The sequence below is a fragment of the Homo sapiens genome, chromosome 2 (assembly GCF_000001405.40).
Source record: "Homo sapiens chromosome 2, GRCh38.p14 Primary Assembly".
Lineage (NCBI taxonomy): Eukaryota > Metazoa > Chordata > Mammalia > Primates > Hominidae > Homo > Homo sapiens.
In genome coordinates, this window is record NC_000002.12 from 98,975,476 (window position 1) to 98,995,054 (window position 19,579).

Genomic DNA, 19,579 nt, shown 5'->3' on the forward strand with positions numbered 1-19,579 from the left:
TGGTATAACTGTAGAGTTCTTCTCCTTCCTTCTCTGAACTGATTTATAAAGCAATTATATAGAACAATATGTATATAATTACATTATTCGGTTTATAACATACAGAAATAAAATATATTTGGAAAAACAGCAGTCCCTCCATATCAGGAGGGAGGGGATACATTCCAAGACTACCAGTGGATGCCTGAAATCAGACACAGTACCAAACCATATATACCACGTTTTTTTTGATGTGATAACCAAGATGCCTACTAAGTGACTAATGGGTGGGTTGCCTATATAGCATGGATATGCTAGACAAAGGGATGATGTGAGTTTTCATTACACTATTCAGAATGGCATGCAACTTAAAGCTTATGAATTATTTCTGGAATTTTCCATTTAATATTTTCAGATCGTGTTGGACCATGGGTAACCATGGGTAACTGAAACCACAGAAAGCAAAACTGCAGATATCAAGAGAGTACTGTAATATCACAAAGGAGGTGTGTGAGAACAGAACTTTATTGGAATAAGGAAATAACACTAGTTGGTAATTTGAAGTCAAAAGAAGAAATAAGGAGAACCGAAAATAAAAAATAAGAAGGTTAATTTTTAAAAACCCTCTATAAGACTTGTGCTTTTCTTTTTTCCTTGAGCTTATTTAAAAGACATAAAATTATAAGAAGTAAGCATTATAACTGTGTATTACTGGGTTTGTAATATATAAATACTACATATACACATATATACACAGATGGAAGGGCAAAGAGTTATATGGGGTAACACTTCTATAAGTCATTAGAATTAAGTTAGTAAAAACATGAAGTAGATTCTAATAAGTTAAAATGTATACTGTAAGTCATAGGGCAATCACTAAGGAAATAACTTTTAAAATATCACGTAAAAATTAGGTCAATTAACATGTTAACTAGAAAGTATTCACTTAATGCAAAAAAATACTAAAGGAACAACACAGGGAAAACAAAACATGAGATATATAGAAAACAAAATATTAAATAGCAGAGGTAAATCTAACAATATCAATAATAATATTAAGTGTGAATATAAATAAAAAAATTCAATCAAAAGACAGATAGACTGAATGTGAAAAAGTGATCCAACTATATGCTATCTACTGAATACACTTTAGATTAAAAAAGATAATAGATTAGGCCAAGGCAGGTGGCTTACCTGAGGCCAGGAGTTCAAAACCAGCCTGGTCAACATGGCGAAATCCCATCTCTACTAAAAATACAAAAAATTAGCTGGGTGTGGTGGCAGACACCTGTAATCTCAGCTACTCAGGAGGTTGAGGCAGGAGAATTGCTTGAACCCAGGAGGTGGAGGCTGCAGTGAGCTGAGATTGTGACACTGCACTCCAGCCTGGGCAACAAGAGCAAAACTCCATCTCAAAACAAAACAAAACAAAACAAAATATATATATATAATATATATATATTCAATCTTATATATATAATATATATATTCAATCTTATATATATAATATATATATTCAATCTAACATATATATATTAAATTGAAGGCAAAAAGACTGAAAAAATATATTATGTAAACAGCAACCATAAGAGAACTTGAATGGCTATAAAGTATCAGACAACATATAAATTAAAACAAAAAATGCTATCAGAGGCAAAGAGAGAAATTTTATAATTATGAAAGAATCAATACATCAGGAAGACATAACAATTATAAACATATATGCACCACCTAAAAACGGAGCCCTAAAATACATAAGGCAAAAACTGATGGAGTTGGAGTGAGAAATACACAATTCAATAATAATAGTTGAAGACCAATATTCCACTTTCAATAATGGATAGAACAGTTGGCAGTAGACAAGGAAACACAAAAATATGAATAACACTATAAATCAAGACATAACTGACATCTACAGAACACTCCACACAAAAACAGTTTAGTACACAGTGTTCTCAAGTGCACATGGAAGATTATTCAGGACAGACAAAATGTTGGGCCATGACACAAACCTCAATAGATTTTTAAAAGATTTAAATTGTATAAAGTATATTCTTTAGCCACAGTGAAAATAAATTAGAAATTGGTAACAGAAGGAAATTTAGGAAATTCAAAACTATGTGAAAATTAAATAAGATTATTTATTGATTACTCCTGAATAATCAACAGGGCAAAGAAGAAATCACAAAGGAAATTAGAAAATGTTTTGAGATAAAGGTAAGAGAAAAACACAACATATTAAAATTTGTGGTATGCAGCTAAAGCAATAAAGGGAATTTTAAAAATTTATTTAGTAGAGGAAAATTTATAGCTACAGGTATTTAAGTAAAAAAAAATCTTAAATAACATAACATTTCATTTTAAGAAACTGTAAAAAGAAAGAGAAAATAAAATCCAAACAGGAATAGCTCCAGTCTACAGCTCCCAGCATGAGCAATGCAGAAGATGGGTGATTTCTGCATTTCCAACTGAGGTACCGGGTTCATCTCACTGGGGAGTGGCAGACAGTGAGTGCAGGACAGCGGGTGCAGTGCACCGAGTGTGAGCCAAAGCAGGTCGAGGCATCGCCTCACCCGGGAAGTGCAAGGGGTCAGGGAATTCCCTTTCCTAGTCAAAGAAAGGGGTGACAGATGGCACCTGGAAAATCGGGTCACTCCCACCCTAACACTGTGCTTTTCCAAGGGTCTGCACACCAGGAGATTATATCCTGTGCCTGGCTGGGAGGGTCCTACGCCCACGGAGCCTCGCTCATTGCTAGCACAGCAGTCTGAGATCAAACTGCAAGGTGGCAGCAAGGCTGGGGGAGGGGTGCCCACCATTGCCGAGGCTTGAGTAGGTAAACAAAGTGGCCAGGAAGCTCGAACTGGTTGGAGCCCACCACAGCTCAAGGAGGCCTGCCTGCCTCTGTAGACTCCACCTCTGGGGGCAGGGCATAGCCAAACAAAAGGCAGCAGAAATCTCTGCAGACTTAAATGTCCCTGTCTGACAGCTTTGAAGAGAGTAGTGGTTCTCCCAGCACGCAGCTTGAGATCTGAGAACGGACAGACTGCCTCCTCAAGTGGGTCCCTGACCCCCGAGTAGCCTAACTGGGAGGCACCCCCAAGTAGGGGCAGATTGACACCTCCCACAGCCAGGTACTCCTCTGAGACAAAACTTCCAGAAGAATGATCAGGCAGCAACATTTGCTGTTCACCAATATCCGCTGTTCTGCAACCTCTGCTGCTGATACCCAGGCAAACAGGGTCTGGAGTGGACCTCCAGCAAACTCCAACAGACCTGCAGCTGAGGGTCCTGACTGGTAGAAGGAAAACTAACAAACAGAAAGGACATCCACACCAAAACCCCATTTGTACGTCACCATCATCGAAGACCAAAGGTAGATACAACCACAAAGATGGGGAAAAAACAGAGCAGAAAAACTGGAAACTCTAAAAATCAGAGCACCTCTCCTCCTCCAAAGGAACGCAGCTCCTCACAAGCAATGGAACAAAGCTGGAAGGGGAATGACGTTGATGAGTTGAGAGAAAAAGGCTTCAGACGATCAAACTACTCCGAGATTAAGGAGGAAGTTCGAACCCATGGCAAAGAAGTTAAAACCTTGGAAAAAATTAGACGAATGGCGAACTAGAATAACCAATGCAGAGAAGTCCTTAAAGGACCTGATGGAGCTGAAAACCATGGCACGAAAACTACGTGACGAATGCACAAGCCTCAGTAGCCAATTTGATCAACTGGAAGAAAGGGTATCAGTGATGGAAGATCAAATGAATGAAATGAAGTGAGAAGAGAAGTTTAGAGAAAAAAGAATAAAAAGAAACGAACAAAGCCTCCAAGAAATATGGGACTATGTGAAAAGACCATATCTACGTCTGATTGGTGTACCTGAAAGTGACGGGGAAAATGGAACCAAGTTGGAAAACACTCTGAGGGATATTATCCAGCAGAACTTCCCCAATCTAGCAAGGCAGGCCAACATTCAAATTTAGGAAATACAGAGAATGCTACAAAGATACTCCTCGAGAAGAGCAACTCCAAGACACATAATTGTCAGATTCACCAAAGTTGAAATGAAGGGAAAATGTTAAGGGCAGCCAGAGAGAAAGGTCGGGTTACCCACAAGGGGAAGCCCATCAGACTAACAGCTGATCTCTCGGCAGAAACTCTACAAGCCAGAAGACAGTGGGGGCCAATATTCAACATTCTTAAAGAAAAGAATTTTTAACCCAGAATTTCATATCCAGCCAAACTAAGCTTCGTAAGTGAAGGAGAAATAAAATACTTTACAGACAAACAAATGCTGAGAGATGTTGTCACCACCAGGCCTGCCCTAAAAGAGCTCCTGAAGGAAGCACTAAACATGGAAAGGAACAACTGGTACCAGCCACTGCAAAAACATGCCAAATTGTAAAGACCGTTGAGGCTAGGAAGAAACTGCATCAACTAACGAGCAAAATAACCAGCTAACATCATAATGACAGGATCAAATTCACACATAACAATATTAACCTTAAATGTAAATGGGCTAAATGCTCCTCACACATAACAATATTAACCTTAAATGTAAATGGGCTAAATGCTCCAATTAAAAGACACAGATTGGCAAATTTGATAAAGAGTCAAGACCCATCAGTGTGCTGTATTCAGGAAACCCATCTCACATGCAGAGACACACATAGGCTCAAAATAAAGGGATAGAGAAAGATCTACCAAGCAAATGGAAAACAAAAAAAGGCAGGGGTTGTAATCCTAGTCTCTGATAAAACAGACTTTAACCAACAAAGATCAAAAGAGACAAAGAAGGCCATTATATAACGGTAAAGGGATCAATTCAACAAGAAGAGCTAACTATCCTAAATATATATATGCACCCAATACAGGAGCACCCAGATTCATAAAGCAAGTCCTTAGAGACCTACAAAGAGACTTAGACTCCCACAAAATAATATTAGGAGACTTTAACACCCCACTGTCAACATTAGACAGATCAACGAGACAGAAAGTTAACAAGGATATCCAGGAATTGAACTCAGCTCTGCACCAAGCGGACCTAATTAGACATCTACAGAACTCTTCACTCCAAATCAAGAGAATATACATTCTTTTCAGCACCACACCACACCTATTCCAAAATTGACCACATAGTTGGAAGTAAAGCACTCCTCAGCAAATGTAAAAGAACAGAAATTATAACAAACTGTCTCTCAGACCACAGTGCAATCAAACTAGAACTCAGGATTAAGAAACTCACTCAAAACTGCTCAACTACAGGGAAACTGAACAACCTGCTCCTGAATGACTACTGGGTACATAATGAAATGAAGGCAGAAATAAAGATGTTCTTTGAAACCAATGAGAACAAAGACACAACATACCAGAATCTCTGGGACACATTCAAAGCAGTGTGTAGAGGGAAATTCATAGCACTAAATGCCCACAAGAGAAAGCAGGAAAGATCTAAAATTGACACCCTAACATCACAATTAAAAGAACTAGAAAAGCAAGAGCAAACACATTCAAAAGCTAGCAGAAGGCAAGAAATAACTAAGATTAGAGCGGAACTGAAGGAAATAGAGACACAAAAAACCCTTCAAAAAATCAATGAATCCAGGAGCTGGTTTTTTGAAACGACCAACAAAATTGATAGACTGCTAGCAAGACTAATAAAGAAGAAAACAGAGAAGAATCAAATAGATGCAATAAGAAATGATAAAGGGGATATCACCACCGATCCCACAGAAATACAAACTATCATCAGAGAATACTATAAACACCTCTATGCAAATAAAGTAGAAAATCTAGAAGAAATGGATAAATTCCTTGACACATACACCCTCCTAAGACTAAACCAGGAAGAAGCTGAATCTCTGAATAGACCAATAACAGGCTCTGAAATTGAGGCAATAATCAATAGCTTACCAACCAAAAGAAGTCCAGGACCAGAGGGATTCACAGCCAAATTCTACCACAGGTACAAGGAGGAGCTGGTACCAGTCCTTCTGAAACTATTCCAATCAATAGAAAAAGAGGGAATCCTCCCTAACTCATTTTATGAGGCCAGTATCATCCTGATACCAAAGGCTGGCAGAGACACAACAAAAAAAGAGAATTTTAGACCAATATCCCTGATGAACATCGATGCAAAAGTCCTCAATAAAATACTGGCAAACCGAATCCAGCAGCACATCGAAAAGCTTATCCACCATCATCAAGTGGGCTTCATCCCTGGTATGCAAGACTGGTTCAACATATGCAAATCAATAAAACGTAATCCAGCATATAAACAGAAGCAACAACAAAAACCACATGATTATCTCAATAGATGCAGAAAAGGCCTTTGACAAAATTCAACAACGCTTCATGCTAAAAATTCTCAATAAATTAGGTATTGATGGGACGTATCTCAAAATAATAAGAGCTATCTATGACAAACCCACAGCCAATATCATACTGAATGGGCAAAAACTGGAAGCATTCCCTTTGAAAACTGGCACAAGACAGGGATGCCCTCTCTCACCACTCCTATTCAAAATAGTGTTGGAAGTTCTGGCCAGGGCAATCAGGCAGGAGAAGTAAATAAAGGGTATTCAATTAGGAAAAGAGGAAGTCAAATTGTCCCTGTTTGCAGATGACATGATTGCATATCTAGAAAACACCATCGTCTCAGTCCAAAATCTCCTTAAGCTGATAGGCAACTTCAGCAAAGTCTCAGGATACAAAATCAATGTGCAAAAATCACAAGCATTCTTATGCACCAATAACAGACAGACAGAGAGCCAAATCATGAGTGAACTCCCATTCACAACTGCTTCAAAGAGAATAAAATACCTAGGAATCCAACTTACAAGGGATGTGAAGGACCTCTTCAAGGACAACTACAAACCACTGCTCAATGAAATAAAAGAGGATACAAACAAATGAAAGAACATTCCATGCTCATGGGTAGGAAGAATCAATATCGTGAAAATGGCCATACTGCCCAAGGTAATTTATAGATTCAATGCCATCCCCATCAAGCTACCAATGACTTTCTTCACAGGATTGGAAAAAACTACTTTAAAGTTCATATGGAATGAAAAAAGAGCCCACATTGCCAAGGCAATCCTAAGCCAAAAGAACAAAGCTGGAGGCATCACACTACCTGACTTCAAACTATACTACAAGGCTACAGTAACCAAAACAGCATGGTACTGGTACCAAAACAGAGATATAGACCAATGGAACAGAAGAGAGCCCTCAGAAATAATGCCACATATCTACAACTATCTGATCTTTGACAAACCTGAGAAAAACAAGAAATGGGGAAAGGATTCCCTATTTAATAAATGGTGCTGCAAAAACTGGCTAGCCATATGTAGAAAGGTGAAACTGGATCCCTTCCTTACACTTTATACAAAAATTAATTCAAGATGGGTTAAAGACTTACATGTTTGACCTAAAACCATAAAAACCTTAGAAGAAAACCTAGGCAATACCGTTCAGGACATAGGCATGGGCAAAGACTTCATGTCTAAAACACCAAAAGCAATGGCAACAAAAGCCAAAATTGACAAATGGGATCTAATTAAACTAAAGAGCTTCTGCACAGCAAAAGAAACTACCATCAGAGTGAACAGGCAACCAACAGAATGGGAGAATATTTTTGCAATCTACTCATCTGACAAAGGGCTAATATCCAGAATCTACAATGAACTCAAACGAATTTACAAGAAAAAAACAAACAACCCCATCAAAAAGTGGGCGAAGGATATGAACAGACACTTCTCAAAAGAAGAGATTTATGCAGCCAAAAGACACATGAAAAAATGCTCACCATCACTGGCCATCAGAGAAATGCAAATCAAAACTACAATGAGATACCATCTCACACCAGTTATAATGGCGATCATTAAAGAGTCAGGAAACAACAGGTGCTGGAGAGGATGTGGAGAAATAGGAACACTTTTACACTGTTGGTGGGACTGTAAACTAGTTCAACCACTGTGGAAGTCAGCGTGGCGATTCCTCAGGGATCTAGAACTAGAAATACCATTTGATCCAGCCATCCCATTACTGGGTATATACCCAAAGGATTATAAATCATGCTGCTATAAAGACACATGCACACGTATGTTTATTGTGGCACTATTCACAATAGCAAAGGCTTGGAACCAACCCAAATGTCCATCAATGATAGACTGGATTAAGAAAATGTGGCACACATACACCATGGAATACTATGCAGCCATAAAAAATGATGAGTTCATGTCCTTTGTAGGGACATGGATGAAGCTGGAAACCATCATTCTCAGCAAACTATCGCAAGGACAAAAAACCAAACACCGCATGTTCTCACTCACAGATGGGAATTGAACAATGAGAACACACGGACACAGGAAGGGGAACATCACACCAGGGCCTGTTGTGGGGTGGGGGGAGGGGGGAGGGATAGCATTAGGAGATACACCTAATGTTAAATGACGAGTTAATGGGTGCAGCACACCAACATGGCACATGTATACATATGCAACAAACCTGCACGTTGTGCACATGTACCCTAAAACTTAAAGTATAATAAAAAAATTAAAATAAAAAAAAGTAATGTCAAAACCGCAAAAAAAAAAAGTTACTTGAACTTGTTTTGCACTGTTATTTTATGAGGCCCTGTAAACTTTCTTCTCTTTTGATATGTTTATTCCTGTGTGAGATAGCATTGCTTTAAATTTTCACTACCTGCTAACTAAAACAGCCTCAAAATGAAGCTGAAGATGTGATGTACATAGACTCACCCTAGTTTTCTTCTCAAGAATAGTTAAACTGACTTGAACATTTTTTATTCCAGTAGAATCATGAGTGGTTTGAAAGTTGTCCCTTGCCAAGAATCCTTAAAACTAGTATATTAAAAAGCTCAGGATCCTAAACCACCAGAGAATTATGAGTGACTGTCATTCACCAAAAATACCTCACATATGATATTAATAACACAGTCCAGGTCTTCTGAATATTTTTTCCAGGTGAAGATAATAGTTTAAGATGTAATATTTACAAATCTTCATGTACACCCAAGTCAGTTCGAAATATATTTGCTTAATTTGCTTCATGTATGTATCAGTCTGTGGCTGCTTTTAACTTTTGTGTTTAATGTCAAATATTTAAATTTCTTGAAATGAGTTTGCAGCTTCTAAATCCAAGTGCTTAGAATGGTGCTAAGCACATAGTAAGTTTTCAATATATGCTAACATCCTTATGGTATCATTCCCTTACTTATCCCATAGAGAAATTGAAAAGGACACAAAGAAGACCCATGCCCCTTTTCATTAGTACTTTCTGATATTAAGACTACTTAAGGCCGGGCGTAGTGGCTCATGCCTATAATCCCAGCACTTTGGGAGGCTGAGGCAGGTGGATCACTTGAGGTCAGGAGTTTGAGACCAGCCTGGCCAACATGGTGAAACCCCATCTCTACTAAAAAAACAAAAAATTAGCCGAGCATAGTGGCAGGCACCGGTAATCCCAGCTACTCGAAAGGCTGAGGCAGGAGAATCACTTGAACCCGTGAGGCGGAGGTTGCAGTGAGCTGAGATGGCACCACTGCACTCCAGACTGGGCAATAGAGCAAGAATCAATCTCAAAAAAAAGACTATTTAAAATTCTTAAAATAATTAATTTACCAAGCACAGCAGGGCTGCAAATTCACTACTGTTAAGAATTCTAATATGTCTTAAATGGTATATTTTAAATAAGTTTAAATGTTTATGTGTGCTAAAATATAAATGCCTTCTCTTTATTTTCAGTGGACAGTTGAACACCAGATTTTATTTTATTTTTTTCAACTTAACTTTAGGGGTACATGTGCAGGATGTGTAGGTTGGTTACATAGGTAAACATGTGCCATGGTGATTTACTACACAGGTCATCCCATCACCCAAGTATTAAGCCCAGTGTCCATTGGCTATTCTTCCTGATGCTCTCCCTCCACCCCCAACAGGTGCCCAGTGTGTACTATTCCTCCCCATGTGTCCAAGTATTCTCATCAATCAACTCCCACTTATAAGTGAGAAAATGCAGCGTTTGGTTTTCTGTTCCTGCGTTAGTTTGCTGAAGATAGTGGCTTCCAACTCCATCCATGTCCCTGCAAAGGACAGGATCTCATTTCTTGTTATGGCTGCATAGTATTCTATGGTGTATATGTACCATATTTTCTTTATCCAATCTATCATTGACAGACATTTAGGTTGATTCCTTTAGGTTGATGACTTTGCTATTGTCAATAGTGCTACAATGAACTTATGCATGCCTGTATCTTTATAACAGACGGATTTATATTCCTTTAAATATATACCCAGTATTGGGATTGCTGGGCCAAATGGTATTTCTGCCTCTAGGTCTCTGAGGAATCACCACACTGTCTTTCACAATGGTTGAACTCATTTACACTCCCACCAGCAGTGTAAAAGTTGAACATCATATTTTTTAAAACCCTCAAATCTCTCACAGTAGAAAAGGCAATGATTTTGAGCAAAATTCTTATATATTAGTATTATCTCTTTACTGTGCTTGTCCATATTTCTTGGCTCAGTACCAAAGCATTTGTTAAGTGAGGGAGGTTTAGCCAGATTGATACTTGTAAGCACAACATGTGAAATATTATTTCCTGAAATGATATCATCATGAATGACATAATGCTGAAACTCAGACATTCTGAGAGGTAAGTCAGACTGTAGTGTGCTGTTTTAATATGGATTGACATTTTCTTCATGGCCCTACTTTTTTAATAGTCTACTCATCATTTCCTTCAATGCATTTTCTTATGGTGGAATGGTTTGGTCTATTATTACTGAATCTGCACTTATTCTTCTGTATAAATTAAATAACTAAATAAATTACACCATGAAATGAACGTGTCCCTCTCAAAATCAGTACCATGCTCTCTCCAGATTGGAAGCATTTTGTTTAACATTTTCAGATACAATCCAGGAGCTTTGAGGTCAACTGAGAAGAAAAGGGGAACTGTGCCCCAGTTGAAGCCCAGAATCCTTTGCATTTGCACCTTGTGAACGCAGAGAGTATAAGAGGCTGGTTAGAGGAACCTGAAGAGAGGTTCCCCATGCATATGAGATAAGGAGCTTTTGGAAGACAAAGATGACTAATAATTATAGCTAACAGCAGAAATACATATATAATTATATTCACACACAATGTGTATTTGTATGTACATATATACACACATCTATAAATATACATAAATATTCATTTTTGCTTTAAAGATACAGTATTTAAACTTATTTTTGTTTAGATATTTGCTCATCCTCAAATAATTAACAGAGGTTAACATTCAAAGGGAAAAATGACCTAGACATTCCAATAGATGACAAGTTAATAAAAGCCAATACAAATGTGACTCCTTAAAAATTAATGCCAAAAAAGTTAATGCTATGGCTTATTAAAGTAGAAGTAAAATGCTCAGTTCAAGAGTGGTTATAACTATGCTGTGATCAGTTAATTTCTCTGAAGACAATGGGCTCAAGCTACAATTTTGCCAATTTTGTTGATATTTTGTAAGAACCGACTTTTGATTTTGTTGCTTTTCTCTACTGTTGTTCTGTTCTCTATTTCATTTATTTCCACTGTGATCTATATTAGTTCCTTCATTCTGCTTGCTTTGGATTTAATTTTCTTTTATTATACTTTAAATTTTAGGGTACATGTGCACAGCGTGCAGGTTTGTTGCTTATGTATACATGTGCCATGTTGGTGTGCTGCACCCATTAACTCATCATTTAGCATTAGGTATATCTCCTAATGCTATCCATCCCCCTGCCCCCCACCCCACAACAGGCCCCAGGGTGTGATGTTCCCCTTCCTGTGTCCATGTGTTCTCGTTGTTCAATTCCCACCTATGAGTGAGAACATGCGGTGTTTGGTTTTTTGTCCTTGCGATAGTTTGCTGAGAATGATGGTTTCCAGCTTCATCCATGTCCCTACAAAGGACATGAACTCATCATTTTTTATGGCTGCATAGTATTCCATGGTGTATATGTGCCACATTTTCTTAATCCAGCCTATTGTTGTTGGACATTTGGGTTGGTTCCAAGTCTTTGCTATTGTGAATAGTGCTGCAATAAACATACGTGTGCATGTGTCTTTATAGCAGCATGTTTTATAATCCTTTGGGTATATACCCAGTAATGGGATGGCTGGGTCAAATGGTATTTCTAGTTCTAGATCCCTGAGGAATCACCACACTGACTTCCACAGTGGTTGAACTAGTTTACAGTCCCACCAACAGTGTAAAAGTGTTCCTATTTCTCCACATTCTCTCCAGCACCTGTTGTCTCCTGACTTTTTAATGATCGCCATTGTAACTGGTGTGAGATGGTATCTCATTGTGGTTTTGATTTGCATTTCTCTGATGGCCAGTGATGATGAGCATTTTTTCATGTGTCTTTTGGCTGCAAAAATCTCTTCTTTTGAGAAGTGTCTGTTCATATCCTTCGCCCACTTTTTGATGGAGTTGTTTGTTTTTTTCTTGTAAATTCGTTTGAGTTCATTGTAGATCCTGGATATTAGCCCTTTGTCAGATGAGTAGATTGCAAAAATGTTCTCCAATTCTGTTGGTTGCCTGTTCACTCTGATGGTAGTTTCTTTTGCTGTGCAGAAGCTCTTTAGTTTAATTAGATCCCATTTGTCAATTTTGGCTTTTGTTGCCATTGCTTTTGGTGTTTTATTTATTTTTTTTTTTGTAAGAATTTATTTATTTATTTTTTTAATTGATCATTCTTGGGTGTTTCTCGCAGAGGGGGATTTGGCAGGGTCATAGGACAATAGTGGAGGGAAGGTCAGCAGATAAACAAGTGAACAAAGGACTCTGGTTTTCCTAGGCAGAGGACCCTGCGGCCTTCCGCAGTGTTTGTGTCCCTGGGTACTTGAGATTAGGGAGTGGTGATGACTCTTAAGGAGTCTGCTGCCTTCAAGCATCTGTTTAACAAAGCACATCTTGCACCGCCCTTAATCCATTAAACCCTGAATGGACACAGCACATGTTTCAGAGAGCACAGGGTTGGGGGTAAGGTCATAGATCAACAGCATCCCAAGGCAGAAGAATTTTTCTTAGTACAGAACAAAATGAAGTCCCCCATGTCTACTTCTTTCTACACAGACACAGCAACAATCTGATTTCTCTATCTTTTCCCCACCTTTCCCCCTTTTCTATTCCACAAAACCGCCATCGTCATCATGGACCGTTCTCAATGAGCTGTTGGGTACACTTCCCAGACGGGGTGGTGGCCAGGCAGAGGGGCTCCTCACTTCCCAGAAGGGGCGGCCAGGCAGAGGCACCCCCCACCTTCTGGACGGGGCGGCAGCCGGGCGGGGGCTGACCCCCACCTCCCTCCCGGACGGGGCGGCTGGCCGGGCGGGGGCTGACCCCCCACCTCCCTCCCAGAAGGGGCGGCTGGCCGGGCGGGGGCTGACCCCCCACCTCCCTCCTGGACAGGGCGGCTGGCTGGGCGGGGGCTGACCCCCCACCTCCCTCCCGGACGGGGCGGCTGCCGGGCGGAGATGCTCATCACTTCCCAGACGGGGTGGCTGCCGGGCGGAGGGGCTCCTCACTTCTCAGATGGGGCGGCTGCCGGGCGGAGGGGCTCCTCACTTCTCAGACGGGGCGGCCGGGCAGAGACACTCCTCACCTCCCAGACGGGGTCGCGGCCGGGCAGAGACGCTCCTCACCTCCCAGACGGGATGACGGCCGGGAAGAGGCGCTCCTCACTTCCCAGACTGGGCAGCGGGGCAGAGGGGCTCCTCACATCCCAGACGATGAGCGGCCAAGCAGAGACGCTCCCCACTTCCCAGACGGGGTGGCAGCTGGGCAGAGGCTGCAATCTCGGCACTTTGGGAGGCCAAGGCAGGCGGCTGGGAGGTGGAGGTTGTAGCTAGCCGAGATCACGCCACTGCACTCCAGCCTGGGCAACATTGAGCACTGAGTGAACAAGACTCCGTCTGCAATCCCGGCACCTCGAGAGGCCGAGGCTGGCGGATCACTTGTGGTTAGGAGCTGGAGACCAGCCCGGCCAACACAGCGAAACCCCGTCTCCACCAAAAAAATACGAAAACCAGTCAGGCGTGGCGGTGCACGCCTGCAATCGCAGGCACTCAGCAGGCTGAGGCAGGAGAATCAGGCAGGGAGGTTGCAGTGAGCCGGGATGGCAGCAGTACAGTCCAGCTTTGGCTTGGCATCAGAGGGAGACCGTGGAAAGAGAGGGAGAGGGAGACCGTGGAGAGGGGAGAGAGGAGAGGGGAGAGGGGAGAGGGGTGTCAGGCTGGTCTTGAACTCCCAATCTCGCTTTTGGTGTTTTAGACATGAAGTCCTTGCCCATGCCTATGTCCTGAATGGTATTGCCTAGGTTTTCATCTAAGGTTTTTATGGTTTTAGGTCAAACATGTAAGTCTTTAACCCATCTTGAATTAATTTTTGTATAAGGTGTAAGGAAGTGATCCAGTTTCAGCTTTCTACATATGGCTAGCCAGTTTTCCCAGCACCATTTATTAAATAGGGAATCCTTTCCCCATTGCTTGTTTTTCTCAGGTTTGTCAAAGATCAGATAATTGTAGAAATGTGGCATTATTTCTGAGGGCTCTGTTCTGTTCCATTGGTCTACATCTCTGTTTTGGTACCAGTACCATGCTTCTTTGGTTACTGTAGCCTTGTAGTATAGTTTGAAGTCAGGTAGCATGATGCCTCCAGCTTTGTTCTTTTGGCTTAAGATTGACTTGGCAATGCGGGCTCTTTTTTGGTTCCATATGAACTTTAAAGTAGTTTTTTCCAATTCTGTGAAGAAAGTCATTGGTAGCTTGATGGGGATGGCATTGAATCTATAAATTACCTTGGGCAGTATGGCCATTTTCACAATATTGATTCTTCCTACCCATGAGCATGGAATGTTCTTCCATTTGTTTGTATCCTCTTTTATTTCATTGAGCAGTGGTTTGTAGTTGTCCTTGAAGAGGTCCTTCACAGCCCTCGTAAGTTGGATTCCTAGGTATTTTATTCTCTTTGAAGCAGTTGTGAATGGGAGTTCACTCATGATTTGGCTCTCTGTCTGTTATTGGTGTATAAGAATGCTTGTGATTTTTGCACATTGATTTTGTATCCTGAGACTTGGCTGAAGTTGCCTATCAGCTTAAGGAGATTTGGGGCTGAGACGATGGGGTTTTCTAGATATGCAATCATGTCATCTGCAAACAAGGACAATTTGACTTCCTCTTTTCCTAGTTGAATACCCTTTATTTCCTTCTCCTGCCTGATTACACATAATTGTCAGATCCACCAAAGTTGAAATGAAGGAAAAAATGTTAAGGGCAGCCAGAGAGAAAGGTCGGGTTACCCACAAAGGGAAGCCCATCAGACTAACAGCTGATCTCTCGGCAGAAACTCTACAAGCCAGAAGACAGAAACTCTACAAGCCAATATTCAACATTCTTAAAGAAAAGAATTTTTAACCCAGAATTTCATATCCAGCCAAACTAAGCTTCGTAAGTGAAGGAGAAATAAAATACTTTACAGACAAACAAATGCTGAGGATTTTGTCACCACCAGGCCTGCCCTAAAAGAGCTCCTGAAGGAAGCACTAAACATGGAAAGGAACAACTGGTACCAGCCACTGCAAAAACATGCCAAATTGTAAAGACCATCGAGGCTAGGAAGAAACTGCATCAACTAACTAGCAAAATAACCAGCTAACATCATAATGACAGGATCAAATTCACACATAACAATATTAACCTTAAATGTAAATGGGCTAAATGCTCCAATTAAAAGACACAGATTGGCAAATTGGATAAAGAGTCAAGACCCATCAGTGTGCTGTATTCAGGAGACCCACCTCACATGCAGAGACACACATAGGCTCAAAATAAAGGGATGGAGGAAGGTCTACCAAGCAAATGGAAAACAAAAATAGGCAGGAGTTGCAATTCTAGTCTCTGATAAAACAGACTTTAAACCAACAAAGATCAAAAGAGACAAAGAAGGCCATTACGTAAAGGGATCAATTCAACAAGAAGAGCTAACTATCCTAAATATATATATGCACCCAATACAGGAGCACCCAGATTCATAAAGCAAGTCCTTAGAGACCTACAAAGAGACTTAGACTCCTACACAATAATAATGGGAGACTTTAACACCCCACTGTCAACATTAGACAGATCAACAAGACAGAAAGTTAACAAGGATATCCAGGAACTGAACTCAGCCCTGCACCAAGCGGACCTAATAGACATTTACAGAACTCCCCACCCCAAATCAACAGAATATACATTCTTTTCAGCACCACACCACACCTATTCCAAAATTGACCACATAGTTGGAAGTAAAGCACTCCTCAGCAAATGTAAAAGAACAGAAATTATAACAAACTGTCTCTCAGACCACAGTGCAATCAAACTAGAACTCAGGATTAAGAAACTCACTCAAAACCGCTCAACTACATGGAAACTCAACAACCTGCTCCTGAATGACTACTGGGTACGTAACAAAATGAAGGCAGAAATAAAGATGTTCTTTGAAACCAACGAGAACAAAGACACAACATACCAGAATCTCTGGGACACATTCAAAACAGTGTGTAGAGGGAAATTCATAGCACTAAATGCTCACAAGAGAAAGCAGGAAAGATCTAAAACTGACACCCTAACATCACAATTGAAAGAACTAGAGAAGCAAGAGCAAACGCATTCAAAAGCTAGCAGAAGGCAAGAAATAACTAAGATCAGAGCAGAACTGAAGGAAATAGAGACCAAAAAAAACCCTTCAAAAAATCAATGAATCCAGGAGCTTTTTTTTTTGAAAAGATCAACAAAATTGATAGACTGCTAGCAAGACTAATAAAAAAGAAAACAGAGAAGAATCAAATAGATGCAATAAGAAAGATAAAGGGGATATCACCACCAATCCCACAGAAATACAAACTATCATCAGAGAATACTATAAACACCTCTACACAAATAAACTAGAAAATCTAGAAGAAATGCATAAACTCCTCGATACATACACCCTCCTAAGACTAAACCAGGAAGAAGTTGAATCTCTGAACAGACCAATAACAGGCTCTGAAATTGAGGCAATAATTAATAGCTTACCAACCAAAAGAAGTCCAGGACCAGACGGATTCACAGCCAAATTCTACCAGAGGTACAAGGAGGAGCTGGTACCAGTCCTTCTGAAACTATTCCAATCAATAGAAAAAGAGGGAATCCTCCCTAACTCATTTTATGAGGCCAGTATCATCCTGATATCAAAGGCTGGCAGAGACACAACAAAAAAAGAGAATTTTAGACCAATATCCCTGATGAACATCGATGCAAAAGTCCTCAATAAAATACTGGCAAACCGAATCCAGCAGCACATCGAAAAGCTTATCCACCATGATCAAGTGGGCTTCACCCCTGGGATGCAAGGCTGGTTCAACATATGCAAATCAATAAAACGTAATCCAGCATATAAACAGAACCAACGACAAAAACCACATGATTATCTCAATAGAGGCAGAAAAGGCCTTTGACAAAATTCAACAGCCTTCATGCTAAAAACTCTCAATAAATTAGGTATTGATGGGACGTATCTCAAAATAATAAGAGCTACTTATGACAAACCCACAGCCAATATCATACTGAATGGGCAAAAACTGGAAGCATTCCCTTTGAAAACTGGTAGAAGACAGGGATGCCCTCTCTCTCACCACTCCTATTCAACACAGTGTTGGAAGTTCAAGTAACTTTTCAAGTAATCTGGATACCTTTCACTCCCAATCAAAATATCAAGCAAACAATGGAGAATTAAAAAAAAAATCTATACTGTTAGAAAATACAAAATTAACATCTTCTTTTTTTTTTTTTTTTTTTGAGATGGAGTCTTGTTCTGTCGCCCAGGCTGGAGTGCAGTGGCACGATCTCAGCTCACTGCAACCTTCACCTCTTGGGTTCAAGTGATTCTCCTGCCTCAGCCTCCCAGGTAGCTGGGATTACAGGCACCCGCCACCATGCCTGGCTGATTTTTGTATTTTTAGTAGAGATGGGGTTTCACCATGTTGACCAGGCTGGTCTTGAACTCCTGACCTCAAATCCGCCTGCCTGGGGCTCCCGAAGTGCTGGGATTACAGGTGTGAACCACTGCGTCCAGCCCACAAAATTACCACCTTATATCCTTAAAGGGTTGAATTTTATTTTGTAAGAACTAGACCCTATCAATAATGGATTATGATACTACATGGTCAGATTAAACACTAACCTCTAAGACCTAATTCAGAAAATAGCTTGAGTACATGAGGACTGAGCATCTCATGCTCCAATGTTTTTGTCACATGAAGTACTTTATTACTATGGGATCACACCACTCTCAGTGATTTACTATTTCAGCTAACCTATGATGGTAATATATATTGCCTTATTCAAAAATTTTCACACTTTTTTAGTTAAATTAAAAGAGGAACAACTAAAATTGCATGAATTAAAGTGGTTAGAGCAACAATCACATACAAGGTACTTCATGTTTAGTTGTTATTCAAAATTTTAAGTGCATTAGTGTAGTAAAAAGACTAGGCAACATTGTTTTCTGGAATGCCATGGTTTATAAGACAAAAAATGTGACCTTTTAATTGAAAACAGCTTCATAAATAACAGATATATCGTGTAAACCTTCTGAGTATCTGTTACTCTGAAGAATTACACCCATACTTGAATAAAATCTTGGTAAATCCAAGAAGCAACAAAGAAGCCTCAAAGTGAAAGTTCTTCAGAAAGCACAAAGAGATGATGAAGATTCATTGCTTATTGGCAAATACTCCAGTTAGTGAAAACACTATGATTGGCAGGCAATGATCATAAAAATCACAGCCAAAGATAAATGAGGCAGAAGAGCAAGGTGGTTAACAGCATGGTCATTGGCATAAGACAGACACATGTGTTCAAAGACCATGACTCAGATACTTATTTGCTTTGTGATTATATACAGGACAATCATATAACTTCTTTGAGATTCCATTCTCCTCTCTTTATACCCATAATATGGAAAAAATCATATCTATGTCACTGGCTGTTTGGGGAACTAATTACTTTCGTTCTCCAAAACTTAGTGATGAACTAAGAATAACTATATTTATTATTAAAGAAGAAAAGTTAAAATAAGAAAGAAGATGGCAGAGTAAAAACAGTGTGATGAAAGGTCATCAGTTTACAACAAAAACAGATCGGCAGTGATATAGCTGATGGGGTGGACCCTGCAGGGACATGATAAACAACATGCAAACAGCCCAATAACCTCACAGATGCCCCTAAACTATGCAAAGGTATAACAATCAAAAGAATGCTCAAGTAGGCTGCATGCCTTATGAAAGAGCAAACCAAGATTCACTCACTTAAGTTGTTTCTGAAGTTACCACCATAGGTAGCACACAAAGGTACATAATTCACTTCAGTAACTGACTAGAAAAGACCATTTATAGTAACGTGTAAAACATAAGGAATGTTACAAAACCAGAAAATAGATGAGTGTATTTGAGGAGCCATCCTATGATCCTAGAGAATCAAAGCAAGCAACATAATAAAAATGCACAAACTCTACGGGAGT